General features: G+C 55.3%; 1 protein-coding gene and 1 long non-coding RNA gene across 2 annotated transcripts in view, besides 1 other annotated feature; both read left to right on the forward strand.

Annotated features, from left to right (window-relative positions):
• Nucleotides 1-13994, forward strand: part of ARHGEF17 (Rho guanine nucleotide exchange factor 17) — a 61113-nt gene that overhangs the window by 22751 nt on the left and 24368 nt on the right. The gene's annotated exons all lie outside the window — the stretch shown is intronic.
• On the forward strand, nucleotides 591-8310 carry LOC124902710 (uncharacterized). Its single transcript, XR_007062774.1, has 2 exons — nucleotides 591-857; nucleotides 1175-8310. It is a non-coding gene; the product is annotated as an uncharacterized LOC124902710 (long non-coding RNA).
• Nucleotides 2242-2955: an enhancer, noted in NCBI's record as "H3K4me1 hESC enhancer chr11:73044313-73045026 (GRCh37/hg19 assembly coordinates)". NCBI's record gives its function as "activates a minimal SCP1, AML or CMV promoter by ChIP-STARR-seq in naive H9 embryonic stem cells {active_cell/tissue: H9 hESC(naive)}" and the evidence as "EXISTENCE:reporter gene assay evidence [ECO:0000049][PMID:30033119]".

Here is a 13994-nt window from a genome sequence, read left to right on the forward strand (position 1 = left end):
GGCCCAGCTATTACCATTCTTGGGGATCCTCTTCTCCCTACCGTGAGGCAGGCACCCTTGTCCTCTCCTTTAGAAAAATAGAGAAGCCAGAGTGGACAGACCACATCCCCCAGAACCTAGTCCTGCCACTACCCTGGACTTGCTGTGTGACCTTGGATTGAGTCCCTGTTCCCTGGGGTCCCTATCCATCAAAGGGAGCACTGGCCTTGTCCTGGCTGTGTCCCATACCCCTAGCCCTTACCCATGTCTCGATTTGGATTAGAGGTAGAGAGATCTTAAGGCCCATGCCTCTCTCTCCCTCTTTTACAGATGGGGAAACTGAGGCCATGGAGGGGACCCTGGACCCCTGCCCTGCATTGCTCTTCTTGGCTTTCCTGGGCCCCTGGACCTTCCTCCCTGGCCCCAGCGTAGCCTATACCACCTCCCCTCCCCCACTCCTGGGCCCCAGTGGTCAAATTCCAGGGCTGTCATTGCCATGGCAACAGCCAGTTCACAGGGCCCCTCCTCTGGGGTTCTCCACCAGTCCTGTTGTCCAGGGAGGAGGCAGAAAGGGCCTCCCACCCCTGGGGGCCTGGAGGGTTGGGCGAGGGGGAGTGGGGGGGTGCGGGGGGAGGAGGTCAGACTCAGCTGGCTTCTCATTTGTTTTCCAAAGGAGAAAATGGAAAAGGCACAAAGTGCTGCCAACAAATGCTACTCTGTTGTCCTGGAGAGAGAGAGGGATAGAGGTGGTCACCTGGGCTGGGGACAAGAGAGCCACCTGGAAAACCTCTCCCAGCTCTCACCTGGAGAATCACCCCACAGAAGCATCAGAGCCCAAAGGATTTTTGAATGGGAGGTGGAGGAAATTTCTTCCTGAGGTGACTGCTGTCCATTTCTAAGGCCACCCAGAGACTGAGGGGTCCAGCCCAGCATGGCTTTTTCTCAAGCAGACATGCCCATAGTGAAAGGAGCTACCATGGCCCCATGGGAGGGGGAGCTTGTCAGCCCTGCGGATATGCCAGCGAGGGCTGCCAGGGAGGCCTGCCATGGAAGGAGGGTGCTTAAGCCAACCACTGACCCCTGAGGGGACCTGCCCTCTGAGATTCTGGTTATTCATAACAGCCAATATTTGTTGAACTCATGCTTTGTTCTGGGCACTGTGGGAAGTAAGCCCTCTATATTCTCTACTTTATAGATGGGGAAACTGAGGCACAGATGTGGTCTTCTGGAGGTCGGGAAGCCATCAGTGGAGAGTGGTCTCTGGCTCTACCCCTCTACCCACCTTTGTCCAGGGCCCCTGCCCACTGTTAATGTTCTGGTATATTTCCCTCCAGGCTTTTTCTCCGTGTGTGTGTGTGTGTGTGTGTGTGTGTGTGTGTGTGTGTGTGTGTGTGTGTGTGTGTATTTTAAATAACATTGAGATGGTGCAGAATGTATGCTTCTTGCTTCTTTCATTTGATGTTATACCCAAATACTTCTCCATAGCATTTCAAAGATTTCAGTAAGTGCATGAATCTCTGGGCTTTCCTGTGGTTGGACCTTGAGGTTGTCGCCAGTTTTCCCTGCTGTGGAAAAGGCTGAGTGGGCGAGTGGGCGTCCTCATGCTGGGAGCCTGGGCTGCTCCCGGGGTCACTCCCTTAGGCTAGAACATGCTCCTCTCTCCGGGTTCCTAGATAATCCCACACCTCTTCCTTCTGGGGTTCCTGGGGGGCGGGAATCCTGTCTGCTTGAGAGACCTTGAGCAAGGTACTTAACTTTTGAGCAAGGTCCTTAACTATGCCTCATCATCTTCCTCTGTAAAACAGGGTAATAATAGGGCCTACCCAGGAGGCTTATTGTGAGGTTAAAATAATACCTGCAGAGCGCTTAGTAAGCAGCGCAGAGGAATCCCTCAGGAGATCTTCTCCTCCTGGTTTATGCTTTTGCTCTCTTCCTGTCCTCAGGCCCAACGAGGTTGTGTAATTTGCTCACAGTCCCACAGCAGGTCAGTGCCGGCACTGAGATTTGGGCCCTGGCCCCACCAACCTCTTTGTCTTGAGAACCTAAGCACACATGACTTCTCACTGAGCCTTGCTTTACCCACGGAAGAGCTCATGAAATTAGGCCCTGGAAGTGTTTTGTAAACTCTAAGGTACTGGGTGGTTCCACTTATTGCCAATAATAATGACAAGACTAGAAAGACCCTGAGTTTTAAAGGCCGAAACTCTAGAAGTTCAGAGGAGGGGAGTGGGCAGGTCTGTGCTACCAGAAAGACTTTCTGGCGGTGGTGGCCTTGTCCTGGGCCTCAGGAGAGTATACCCTGGGTTTGGCTCAGGCTGACCTTCAGCTGTGAATCTTATCCACTGCGCACACTTGTGCACATGCACGCGCGCGCGCACTCACACGTAACTATCGCTGTCCAGGCATTAGGGCTGGTCACCATTGGTGGATAAATTCAGTAAGGCCTAAAAGCCCAAGCTGCTGTTGGTCAGCCAGAGGCAGAGACCACTTCTTCCAGAGGCTAGGGTGGAGGGATAATTGAACGGGCATGGTCACTGCCCCTGGACATCCTGACCACCCTATGCTTGCCTGGTGTGATGGGAGGGGGCTTCCCTCGGCTCTGGGTTATGCCAGAGTCCCCAGGGGCAGGGCTGGAGTGACCGACTGATGGGTAGAACTTACTCTCCCCTCAGAGTGTCACCCGGGTCCTGGAACAGGGTGGGAGTAGGGGAGGTAGGGGCCACAGTGCAACCCAGCTGGTTGGGCCTCTCTGGACAAGCTACAGTGGGAGAGCTCCAGAGGCCTGGTCTGGTCTGGTTCTAGCTCAGCTGACTGTCTGCCACCCTGGGGGTCATGAGACATTTCCTCTTTGAGCCTCTGTGCCCATATATCAAATGCGTAGAAATGGTCCCTTCTCTGCCTCCCTCCTTCAAGAGAGGATTGAACATGGACATTCTAAACTAATCAGTGCACATTAATTACACTGATACTTGCTTTCATTCATCCTCAAATTCACAAATGTGAACTGAGCACTTAACTGTGGGTCAGTCTCTGTTGTAGGCATGGAAGCTGCTGGAACAAGGCAGAAGTGCACCCTCCCTTTTGGAGCTCACAGACTTTGTTATATGTCCCTTAGTACCTGGGCAGCTTGCCTGAGTGCAAGCCTGACATATAGTAGGTCTTTCAATATGCCAAAAAGGAGGCTGCTGATTGGGGAATTAGCACCAGGCAGTTTGGTCAGTGCCCTGGTCTATAGCAGGGATAGGTCAGGGAGGGTGGAGGACTTAAAAGAAACTTCCAGGAAGAGGCAGAGCATAAAAGTTAGATGGCGTTTAAACAGGGCCAAGAGCAAGGAGGGCAGCCCAGGCAGAGGAGCAGTCTACACAAAGATGGAGAGGTGGGGAGGAGACTGGGGTTGGACAGTGGTGAAGAGACCAGCCTGGCTAGAGGAGAGGCTGGGAGGTCACACACGTAGGCTGCTGGGGGCTGATTGCACTTCAGGCTTCCCTAGGTCTCTGGTGGCATGAATAGAATTTCTGGCACTATGGTAAGTGGGGAAGACAGCCTCTTTTGGCTGTGGGGCTTCAAGAGCCCCCAGGATTTATCTTCAGCCGAGGCAGGCTCTGGCCCCCTCCTTCCTGCCTCAGCTCCTTGGGGCTCTGGCTGAGGCTGACCTGGCCTTTCCCAGGGTGCCTGGCCCACAGCCCAGTGAGTCATCTTCTGCACCAGAGGCAGGACACCCCATCCCACCGACAACACATGACTGCAGCCCTTCCCCCTGCTCCTGGGTCTGAGGGAGGGAGAGAACAAGAGGGGCTGGAAACAGACCCTGGATAACTTCCGTTCCCACGATCCCAGCCCCCCTGCAGGCTGGGGAACTGGGTGGAGGATAGGGAAGGGATCCCTGCTTTCCAGTGCTCTGTGCAGGTCAGGAATCAGAGGCTGAACGGTGGTGGTCCTGGGCCACAGGGCCTGATTCCCTGAGCACTGGTCTGGTGCTGAGCCAGTGTTAGACATTTTGAATGAAATAACTTTTAGAGCTGGGAGAGGAGGGCCCCTGGAGGTCATCTCATTCATAGGTTTTAAGCCAGGGCTGGGACCACAGGCCAGGCCAGTATGTAGGCAGAAGTGTGCATAGGGGAAGGTGGGTGCATTTCCTGGGAGCCCTAAAGCAGGAGTTGCCAGATTTAGCAAGTCCTACCTACCCTAAGGCCTCATGGGATTACCAGTGGGGTCCTTCTCGACTGCCAAGGGCAGGGCAACCTCCCCTGCTCAGACTCAGATGTGGGACCCAGAAGATCTGGGTTCTGGTTTCTCTGCCTGTAAAATGGGGGTGACAGTCCCAGCCTCTTGGGCTGAGAGGATGATTGCATTCAAAGCTTCTGAGCTCCTAAGATGTTTTTCACATCTGTTGGGGGTCTGTCTATCCATCTACTTCTCAAGCCCCACCTCCTGCTTCCCGCTATTATCCATAATGAGAAACTTTTCCTTCCCAGCCTGGAAGGTCCAGCTGTATCTTCTTGAAATTGGGAGGGAGGGGGGCGGATCTCAGAGAAGAAAGAAAGGGAAAAAACCCACATTAAAAAAAAAACCCACCAGTTAAATTCAAACCACATGCACCACAGCCCCTGCCATGTGGGCCTCTGCTGCCACCTGTGGGCGTCTGGTGGAAGTGCAGTTCTTGGGGCTTCAGCTTCCTCACTGGAGCCATAGGCTTAATCCTGAAGCCTGAAATCAGGAAGGAAGGTCAAGCTGTCCATCCTCCACCTCTGAGCATGACCTCACCCCCACCACCTCTGCTGCCAGGAAGCCTGGTGGGGAATTTAGAATCCATCTACACCTTCCCTTCTCCCCCATTTGTTTACAGAGGGGGAAACTGAATCCCAGAGTGGAGAGGAATTTGGCTAAAGTTGCAAAGCAAGACAGTCAATAGATAAGTATTGTACACCTACTGTATGTCAAGAGACCTGGTCTCTGCTCTTATGGATCTTCTGGTTGTGGAAAGCAGGGAGCAGACATTGAGACCGTCCTATTTCCATCTAACTCCCAGCCATCCATGGAAGAGAATACAGCCTCCTACCTTCTCATTCAAGGTGCTCTGGGCTTGGCTTGACTTCTTGTTAATGTGCTCTGTGACCCTGGTGAGGTCACTCAGCTTCTCTGATATGCCAGTTACTTGGGGTCAAATCCCAGCTTTGCCACATCCTGACTTCATAACCTCAGGCAAGTTGCTTTGCTTCCTGGAGCCTTTGTTTCCTCATCTGTAAAATGGCCATAACAGGAATACATAACTCAGAGGACTGGTGTGAGGACTAAATGAGATAATACATGAGAAACAGTGCCTCACTAAACATTAGCCAGCTGTATACATGAGCTCCCACCAAGGATACAGTGAGCACACCTCATTCCCAGAGGTCTAGGAGGGGGCTGGGAGCGCAGTGGGTACGGGGGTCCCTTCTGGGCTAAGAGTGCACCAGCAAGGTTCAGCAGTTAGAAGTCGGGCCTGAGTCCCAGCATAAGGAATGAGGGCTACCACCTCCATCCTCCTTTCAGCCAGCAGGGACAGTTTCTGGAAGGAGTGGTGAGGTTGGAGTCCCAGCTGGACCCCTCTGGGGCAATAGATGAAATCTAGCCTGTGCAGAAATCATCCCCTTCCTTCATTTCTCCTGTCAGCATATGAAGGACCCTGGGTTCACATTCCGTCTCTTCCACTCACTGCCTGTGTGACCATGGCTCCTCCACCTCCCTGATCCTCAGTTTCCTCAGCTAGGCACTTCTCACTGAGAGTCATGCAGTGTGGTCGGATAGTGCTGGGCTGGAATTACCTTGAAGGCATCCTCACTCACAAATTGGTGATTAATGCTGGCATTTGGCTGGACCTCATCTGGCCTGTCAGCTGGCATACCTACACATGGCCCCTGCATGTGGCCTGGGCTTCCCCACAACGTGGAGGCTGGGTTTCAAGAATGAGCAAGCCAAGAGAGCAAGATGGAAGCACATGGCATTTTTATGACCTAGCTTTGGATGTCACATAGTATCATTTCTGCTGTGCTCTGTGGTCAAGGCAGTCACAAAGCTTTACCCAGCTTCAAAGGGAGGGGACCTGGACCTCGTCTTTCTGTGGGAAGAGTCAATACCACATTGTAAGAAGAACATGTGGGCCAGGCGCAGTGGCTCGCGCCTATAATCCCAGCACTTTGGGAGGCCGAGGCAGGAAGATTGCTTGATCCCAGGAGTTCAAGACTAGGCTTAATCTCTAAAAAATATTTTTAAATTAGCTGGGCGTGGTGGTGCGCACCTGTACCCCCACCACTCAGGATGCTGAGACAGGAGGATCGCTTGAGCCCAGGAGTTTGAGGTTGCAGTGAGCTGTCACGCCACTACACTCCAGCCTGGGTGACAGAGTGAGACCCTGTCTCAAGAAAAAAAAAAAAAAAAAAGCATGTGAGATGATAGCTATCTTCAAAACATACAGTCTACCTGAAGATGATTATGAGGAAAACAGCTCATTGTAGCCTTGACATCCCAGAGCTCAAGTGATCCTCCTACTTCAGCCTCCTGAGTAGCTGGGACCACAGGTGTGTGCCACCAGGTCTGGCTATTTTTAGTATTTTTTGTAGAGATGAGGTCTCCCTGTGTTGCCCAGGCTGGTCTCGAACTCCTGGGATCAAGTGATCCTCCTGCCTCAGCCTCCCAAAGTGCTGGGATTACAGGCGTGAACTACCACACCCAGCTATTTTTTATTATTATTGAAGTGACCCCTTCACTTTCAGTCTCTGCCATTGAACCCTATGGACCATCACCCTCACCAGTTGTGCAGTCACATGTCCACAGAAGACCCCAACAGGAGTGTACACAGACACACAGAGGAGTCCACACAGAGAGGACACAGGTCGTGTCACTCATAATCCCACCCCAGGTGCATACACGCACCCACCTAAGCAGGGCACTGTCCCCATAGCAGGAAGATCCTGAGGCTCTAAGGAGCTCTCCTTCCCATTCCCAAAGCACATTCCCCAGAATTATGGAGCCCACCCTGAGCAGCCAGTCCCCAGGGAGCCCTGTGGCTTGGACACTTCCCTTCTAGCTGCCTCAGAGGCCTGGGAACTCTGTGGAGCCTTGAGAGGCTCCTCTTTCCAGAAGAGAGGGTCTCTAGGAAACAGGACCTGACCAGGGAAGGCAGGGGGAAGGGAGGAGAGGAGAGAAGATAGGGGGATGGGAAGAAGACAGAGTCCTCAAGCAGGAACAGATGGAGAGACTGAGGCCCCAAGAAGTGAAGTGTCCTGCCCAAGGTCACTTCCCCAGTAAGTGGCCAAGCCAGGATTTGGGATTGAGCTTTCTGGCTCCAGGGCCTGCCTTCTTAATCTCTCTACCCAAAAAGTCCCTCTTTTGGAACTTTCATCTCCTTGATGAACTGAGCACCTGAGGAAGGCAGCGGCTGTCAGGGAAATGGATAGCCCATTAGGTTGGGAACATCCCGTACCAACCCTATGCTTGTGGACTTTGGTGGGGTCAGGAGCATCAGACAGTCTGTGTGGGCCATTCGCCAGGGCCGAGTTCCCAGGGAAGAGGATCTTCTTTGACTCTAGCATTGCCTGTGGATGGCAGTTTGTTTACCACCTAAACCTTCAGGAGAATCTGTTCATGTCACTGTCTTGGAACAAAGGAGGCTGAAGAAAGGCAACCACCACACCAGGGAGGTGGGGGTTGGGGGAGCCCAGCTGTGTGCACCAGGCCAGGGGAGGTGGAGTGGGGCTCTCCCCACTGGGGAGAGGGTGGGGTTTAGGAGCCTGGGCCCTGGAGGTGGCTGGTAGAACTGGGTTCTACCTCTTACCAGCCAGGTGACCTCTCTGAGCCTCAGTTTCCTAGTTTGTAAGAAGGGAGAGTAATAATAATAGAGTTCTTGATGTGGGGCTGCTGTGGGGATTAAAGGAGCCAGGACGTGTAAAGTGATGGTAGGGTGCCTGGCCCCTGAGAATTGTCCAAACAGCATTAGTGGTGTGGCAATTCTGAGATTATGGGGTTCCTAGTCTTCCAGTTTGGGCAGCTCTGGGGCCCAGGCACTCTCTTGACAAAGATTTAATAGGGTTGTGCCTCCACTCCCAGGAGCCTGATGAGGCCTGCTGCCCCAGTACCGGCATTTCTCCTTCACCACCTGCATCATGCTTGCCATTTCTTTCTCAGTTCCTGTCTTCCTGTGTAGACTGTGGTGCCCAGTAGGGCACAGACCTCTTTCCTTACCTTTAAATCCCCAGCACAGTGCTTGGCATCTAATAGGTGCTCTATAAGTATTTATTGAACTAATCAACTAATGAATAAAATAAAAATGCAATTGATTACTCATGCATTAAACCATGTATCTGTGGATTCATTCATGTATTCATGACTGTCATTGATCTGTTCATCCATTAATTTATTATTTATTCATTTATCATGATTTCATCCTTTCATCCTTTCATTTATTCAGCCATTACCGGTTATCTGTCCATTTGTTTGTTCATCCCTGTGTCTAGCCTTTCTCATCATTGGTCCCATTTGGTCCAGCACCAGCTGGAGGACCAGGTGGCCCCCAGGTGGACAGTGCCCAGATGCAGGAGGTATGGGTGGGCTCAGACTGGGTGGTGTGTCCAGAGGCAGGTAGTCAGGGTATTGGGATTCCCTCAGAGATGGGGAAGTTGTTAGCAGATTGGGCAGAAGTAGGGAGGGTTAGGTGCTCCCCAGGGCTGGTAGAAAGGTGGTCCCACAGACTTGGGACCCCCAGCCTGCCCCTCCTGGAGTGGGGTGGTACTCTTGTAGAGCAGAGCCCTTTTTCCCCCTCTCTGTCTTTCCTTCTCTGACTAAAGAGCAGGTGAGAGTGTGGCTCTTTCATGGGAGAAGAGGTGTTTATGGTTGGGTGTGGGGTATGGAGAGGAGGGCTGGGTAGGCCTTCACCAAGCACCCTGTATACTTACAAAAACTCTTCTGAGCCACACTCATTCTATACAACTGCACATACCCCAAAGGAGATAAAATCAGCACTCAGAACAGGAGCTCAGAGGAACAATAGCAGAACCAACCTGCATAGGGGTACCGTGGCCCACCTGGTGCCCTCAGCCCCCACCCCAACTGACCTCATCCTGAAGGGCTCTGATGCCTGTGCTGTTATGGGGCCCTCCCTGGACACCCTGCCTCAGCGACCAACCCATGTGCTCCTGTTCCTTCTCTTTGCTTCCTTTCATCTCCCCGAACCACCAGCCCCACTCCATTGCCAAGACAATAGGCTTGGATCTAATTAGTCATCCTTAATGAAGCAGCAGCAGCAAGCAGTGCCTTTGGCACCAAGTCCCGCCCCCTTCTTGGGGGCAGGGCCTTTCAGTGAACTCTGTCTTCTGGGCACCCATATGCCTGTGGATCTCTCGACCTCAGGACCTTGTTCTTGCCATGCCTCCTCCAGGAAGCCCTCCCTGAATACTTTCCCCTGAAGCAGCAGTGACTCCCTCTGCTGAGCCCTATGAGAAAAAGCCCTGTGTTGTCTGGGAGCTCCTGGAGGCAAACAAGGGTGGACTGATCTCTGCAGGGCCCCATCCCACTGGAACTAGTGAGGGAATGGATGCACGTCTCTAAATCCTGAGCCACACACTGCCTCTCAGCCACTCAGAGGAAGCTGATGCCCAGGGTTGTGTAGCTTGAGAGGGTCAGATGAGGGACGAGGTGCCCTGAGAGAAAGCCAGATGTGGGTTAAGTATCCTCAGTGACCAAGCAATGAGCCAGGGATGGGGCCTTCAGACCACCACTCTGCATGTGCTGTGGGACCTGGATGTCTGGACTGGATCACAGGCCTGTCCATCCTCCCTTTCAAGCCACCACTCAGTCAATTGGTCTGGCTGTTCCAGACCCCCTGCATGCCCAGCCCTGGGAGGAGGAAGAGGAGGAGCAGGCTCCATCCGCAGGGAAGCCCACAATCCATCCAGTTGGGAGGGTAAGAGGCAGAGAGCTATTCAGGCTGGTCTGCCTCTCAGTCAGTAACTGCTGGGCATGTGGGGAGAAGGGAGGAGGAAGAGCTATTGGGGGCTTGTTTATTAAGCCAGCCTTCCTTATAAGTGCCCTGGCTTACAAAAGGGACAAGGACGCTGCCCTCAGGAAGCATATAGTCTCCTGGGAGGAGACGGGCCTCAATCTAGTAATTGCTTAAATGTATATTTACGAACTGCCATACATGGTTAAGGTAAGGAAAACTGAGAGCCTTTAAGAGCAGAAATTAGATGCACATGACCTAATCTGAGGATCAGGGAGGGCTTCCCTAAGGAGGTGACATTTGCACTAAAACTGGTATTTTTTCTTTTTGAGATGGAGTTTCGCTGTTGTTGCCCAAGCTGGAGTGCAATGGTGCGACCTCAGCTCACCGCAACCTCAGCTCACCTCAACCTCCGCCTCCCGGGTTCAAGCTATTCTCCTGCCTCAGCCTCCCGAGTAGCTGGGATTACAGGCATGCGCCACCACACCTGGCTAATTTTGTATTTTTTTTTTTAATAGAGATGGGGTTTCTCCATATTGGTCAGGCTGGTCTCGAACTCCCAACCTCAGGTGATCTGCCCGCCTCAGCCTCCCAAAGTGCTGGGATTACAGGCGTGAGCTACCGCGCCCGCCCGAAACTGGTCTTAAAGGAAAAGAAAAAGCATTACTAGGAGAGGGAAAAGGCATGGGCCAAGACCCTGAGGCAGGAGAGGGCATGGTCAGTTTCTGGAAGTTAAAACGGAAGTGGCTGGAGCACATCAAGCAAAGAGATGAGAGGAGTCGACAGATGGGCCTGGCTTGAGCTATGGGGTCAGGATGTCCACTGTGCAGGAAACTCAGGGGAAAGCAGGTTTGGGAGAAGGAGTCAGCTGGGGGCTTGGTGAGCGTGGCAGCGTGCAGCACACTAAAAGGCATGAAGTTGGCCAGGGCTGAGGCACAGCTGCAGGGTGCTTCAGAGCCCCCCCATCTTGCTGGGTGGGAGCTGGTGCAAAAGCAGGTTGCTCGCCCCCACCCCTCAGTCCAGATTGAGTCTAGGATAGGTTCTGCTGTCACTCTGGGCTTTCAAGCAGCACGTTATGAGGATCCTGCTTGGAGACAGTCTAGGGGTGCACAGTCTAGGTACGGGAGCACAGTCTAGGGGTGGGAGCACAGTCTAGGGATGGGAGCACAGTCTAGGGGTGGGAGCACAGTCTAGGGGTGGGAGCACAGTCTAGGAGTGGGAGCACAGTCTAGGGGTGGGGCGGATGGACAGGGACAGGACTGGAACCCTCCAAGATGGTCCCAGGTATAGGACACAGGACAAGCTGGATCCGGGCAGGGGTAGGGATGATTCAAGGTGGGTGATTTGAGTGATAGCTGCCCTCCTTCAGGCCCAAGAGCTCCTCCCTTGGGTGGAAGACCAGGGATGTGTATGTGTGCACATCTCTAAATGTCCGAGCCTGGACATATGTGCCTGTTTCTGCTGGCAATAGTTATGTAAACACAGAAGCACTTGTCTGGGCGCAACGATGGATCATGTTCGTTTCTGTCAAGGTTCAGGTCTGTAAGGGACTGTGTTGATGTGGGTGCACTTGGCCTGACCCCCTTGTGCATACGGGTCCAGGCCTGAGGGCAGGTTTCCATGAACGTGGCCTATTCCGTGTAGGTGTGTTCGTGCCCCTGTGTGTGTCCCGTGCTCCGTGGCTCCTCGGTGGGAAGCTGCGTTCAGCGTGTGCCGGCGCTGGGTACAGGTGCGGACGGAAAGTACATGTCGGCGCCTTTGTCCACGGGTGTGCGCCGACTTGTGTCCTGGGGCGGGGGATGGGTCCGTGAGCGGACGCTGCCGCGTGGGGGAAGGGGCGGGTGCGAGGGCAGCCCAGAGCGTGCTGGGGGAGATGGGGCGGCGCGGAGAGGGCGGGGACCCTCCTCCCCACAACGGGGCCGCGCGCGCCTGGCTCGCCGGGCGCACTCCCAGCGCGGAGGAGGCAGCAGCGCCGCCGGCGGCCGGGCCGCAGCGCTCAGATCGACGCTGGAACTGACCACCGCGACCGCCACTGCGGCTGCCGCCGCGGCCGGGCTGAGCCCTTAGGGAGCGAGAGTGGGAGGCGGCCCCTGACTCCGCGCTGACCCCCGCCCCCCGCCCCGCCGCCACCCCGGCGCCCCCGCCCCAGCGGCTGGCCGGCCGCATGCTGCAGATGGTGAAGACCCTGGCCCAGTTCACCATCGCGCTGGAAGACATGCGCGATATGGGCCCAGCCGCCGCCTCCGGGGAGCCTGCCGGGGGCAGCAGCACTGACGCCGAGGAGCCTGGGGAGGCCCAGGTACGGGGAGGGGGAGGGGCAGCCAGGGACCTGGGCCATGGCCTAGAACTCAGCCGACCCAGGAGCCAACCCAGGAGACGGTGGGGGGAGGGGAGGCATGGGGCGCAGGGACTCTCTGTGACCGGGGATGGAGACCTGGAGATTGCCGGTGAGGAACCCTGGCAGGCGGTGGTGTGGCTGGCAGGGCGCTGAGGGTCAAGGCCTGGTGGCACTCCGCTTGCAGAAGTGCCTGTAGAAGCTGAGGCTGTCGCCAGTGTTATCCTGGGTCCACAGGCTCAGGAAGGAGAGGTTTTCCCAGCCCTCCTCTTAGGCTTGAGGTGGCCCTGGTGTATGTGTGTGCTGGAAAGTAGAGTCAGTTTTGCACCCCCACTGCCATCCTCTCCCTGCCGCTGGGCCTGCTGGCCCTTGGAGGAGTCATGCTGCGGTGGGAACAGCAGCGTCCCCGTTCTCGCTCAGTGTGTGTACCCCTGCAGGGGAGGGGAGGCGTCTTGGGGCTGTTTCCCTGTCTTTGTGTGTCTCTGGGCCTGGACTCTGTGCCATGCTCCCGGCCCCAGTGGGGGCTGTAATTCTGTCCCCTCCCCGTGCAATGATGTGTCTCTCCACAGCCTCAAGTCTCTGAGCTGGCGGGCCTGGTTCTCAGCTGCGTGACCTGGCTGCGTTTTTTATTTCTGTGTGGGGCGGCTTGCCTTTATGGCGTCTCTGTGTGCGTGTCTGTCTTCACACTGTGCCCGTCAGGGTTTCAGTCTTTGGGTTGTGATGCCCCAGTCATCCCAGGAGTGGCCCCCTCTGTCTTCCTGCTGTATCCCCCAGTGCCCACCTCAGTGCCCGGTGTAGCGAAGGTCTGGGGATGGGGCTGGTGAGGGATGAGGGGTGCTGTGGGGAGGCTGGGTGTGAAGGGCTGTTCTGCCTGGAACAGGTGGGCCTGCTGTTCAGGCTGACAGCTGCGCTGTCTGCCTCCTGCCTCCCCTGTCCACCCCCGCAACCCCCGCACACTACACCCGTGGTGGGCACGTGTAGAGGGCTGCTCGCGCAGTGACAGGGAGCTGGCCTTGTTTTCTGTGTCTTTACCTGACAGCTGAGTGACAGGCCGCTGTGCTCTGCCGCAGGGAGGAGGCTGGGAGAGGCGGGCATTTGCAGCGTCAGCCTCCCCGTGTCACCCCAGCCTCCCGGCATCAGGCACAGCGCCAGCCCTGCCTCTCAGGAAGCCTCCCTGACCATGACCATTGTGGTGCCCGCTGGGCCTGATGGGCCGTTGTGTGGGCGGGGGAGTGTGGCTGAGGGGCCCAGGGCCGCGCCTGGCCTGGCCCTGCTGTCAGGGAGCTCCCCACGCCGTCTCACTGAGGGGGAGAAAGGGTGGACACTGGTGACCTGCTGCGTGTGGACAGAGCTGCTCTGCTCGCTGCCGCCTTTGCCTTCACGGTGATGGGAGGGCGGGGTTATTAGCTCCATTTCATGGAAGAGAATGTGGAAACAGGGCCATTAGGTGACACCACAGTCACACAGCCAGTAAGGGCAGTGCTGGGGACCTGTGGCCCGTGGCTGCCCAGTCAGTCTGGGCGAGAACTCCAGGGGCTGGGGCCCTGAGAGTCATGAGGTGGCTGAAGAGACCCTGGTCCTTGCTTTGCCACTCACAGGCTGTGTGATCTTGGACAAGTCATGTCACCTCTCTGACATGACCCCTCACCTGTGCAGTGGAAATGGCAACACCTGTGTCACAGAGCTGAGTGTGAGGCTGAAGCAAGA

This window comes from Homo sapiens, chromosome 11 (assembly GCF_000001405.40).
Source record: "Homo sapiens chromosome 11, GRCh38.p14 Primary Assembly".
In the NCBI taxonomy this organism is placed as follows: Eukaryota; Metazoa; Chordata; class Mammalia; order Primates; family Hominidae; genus Homo; species Homo sapiens.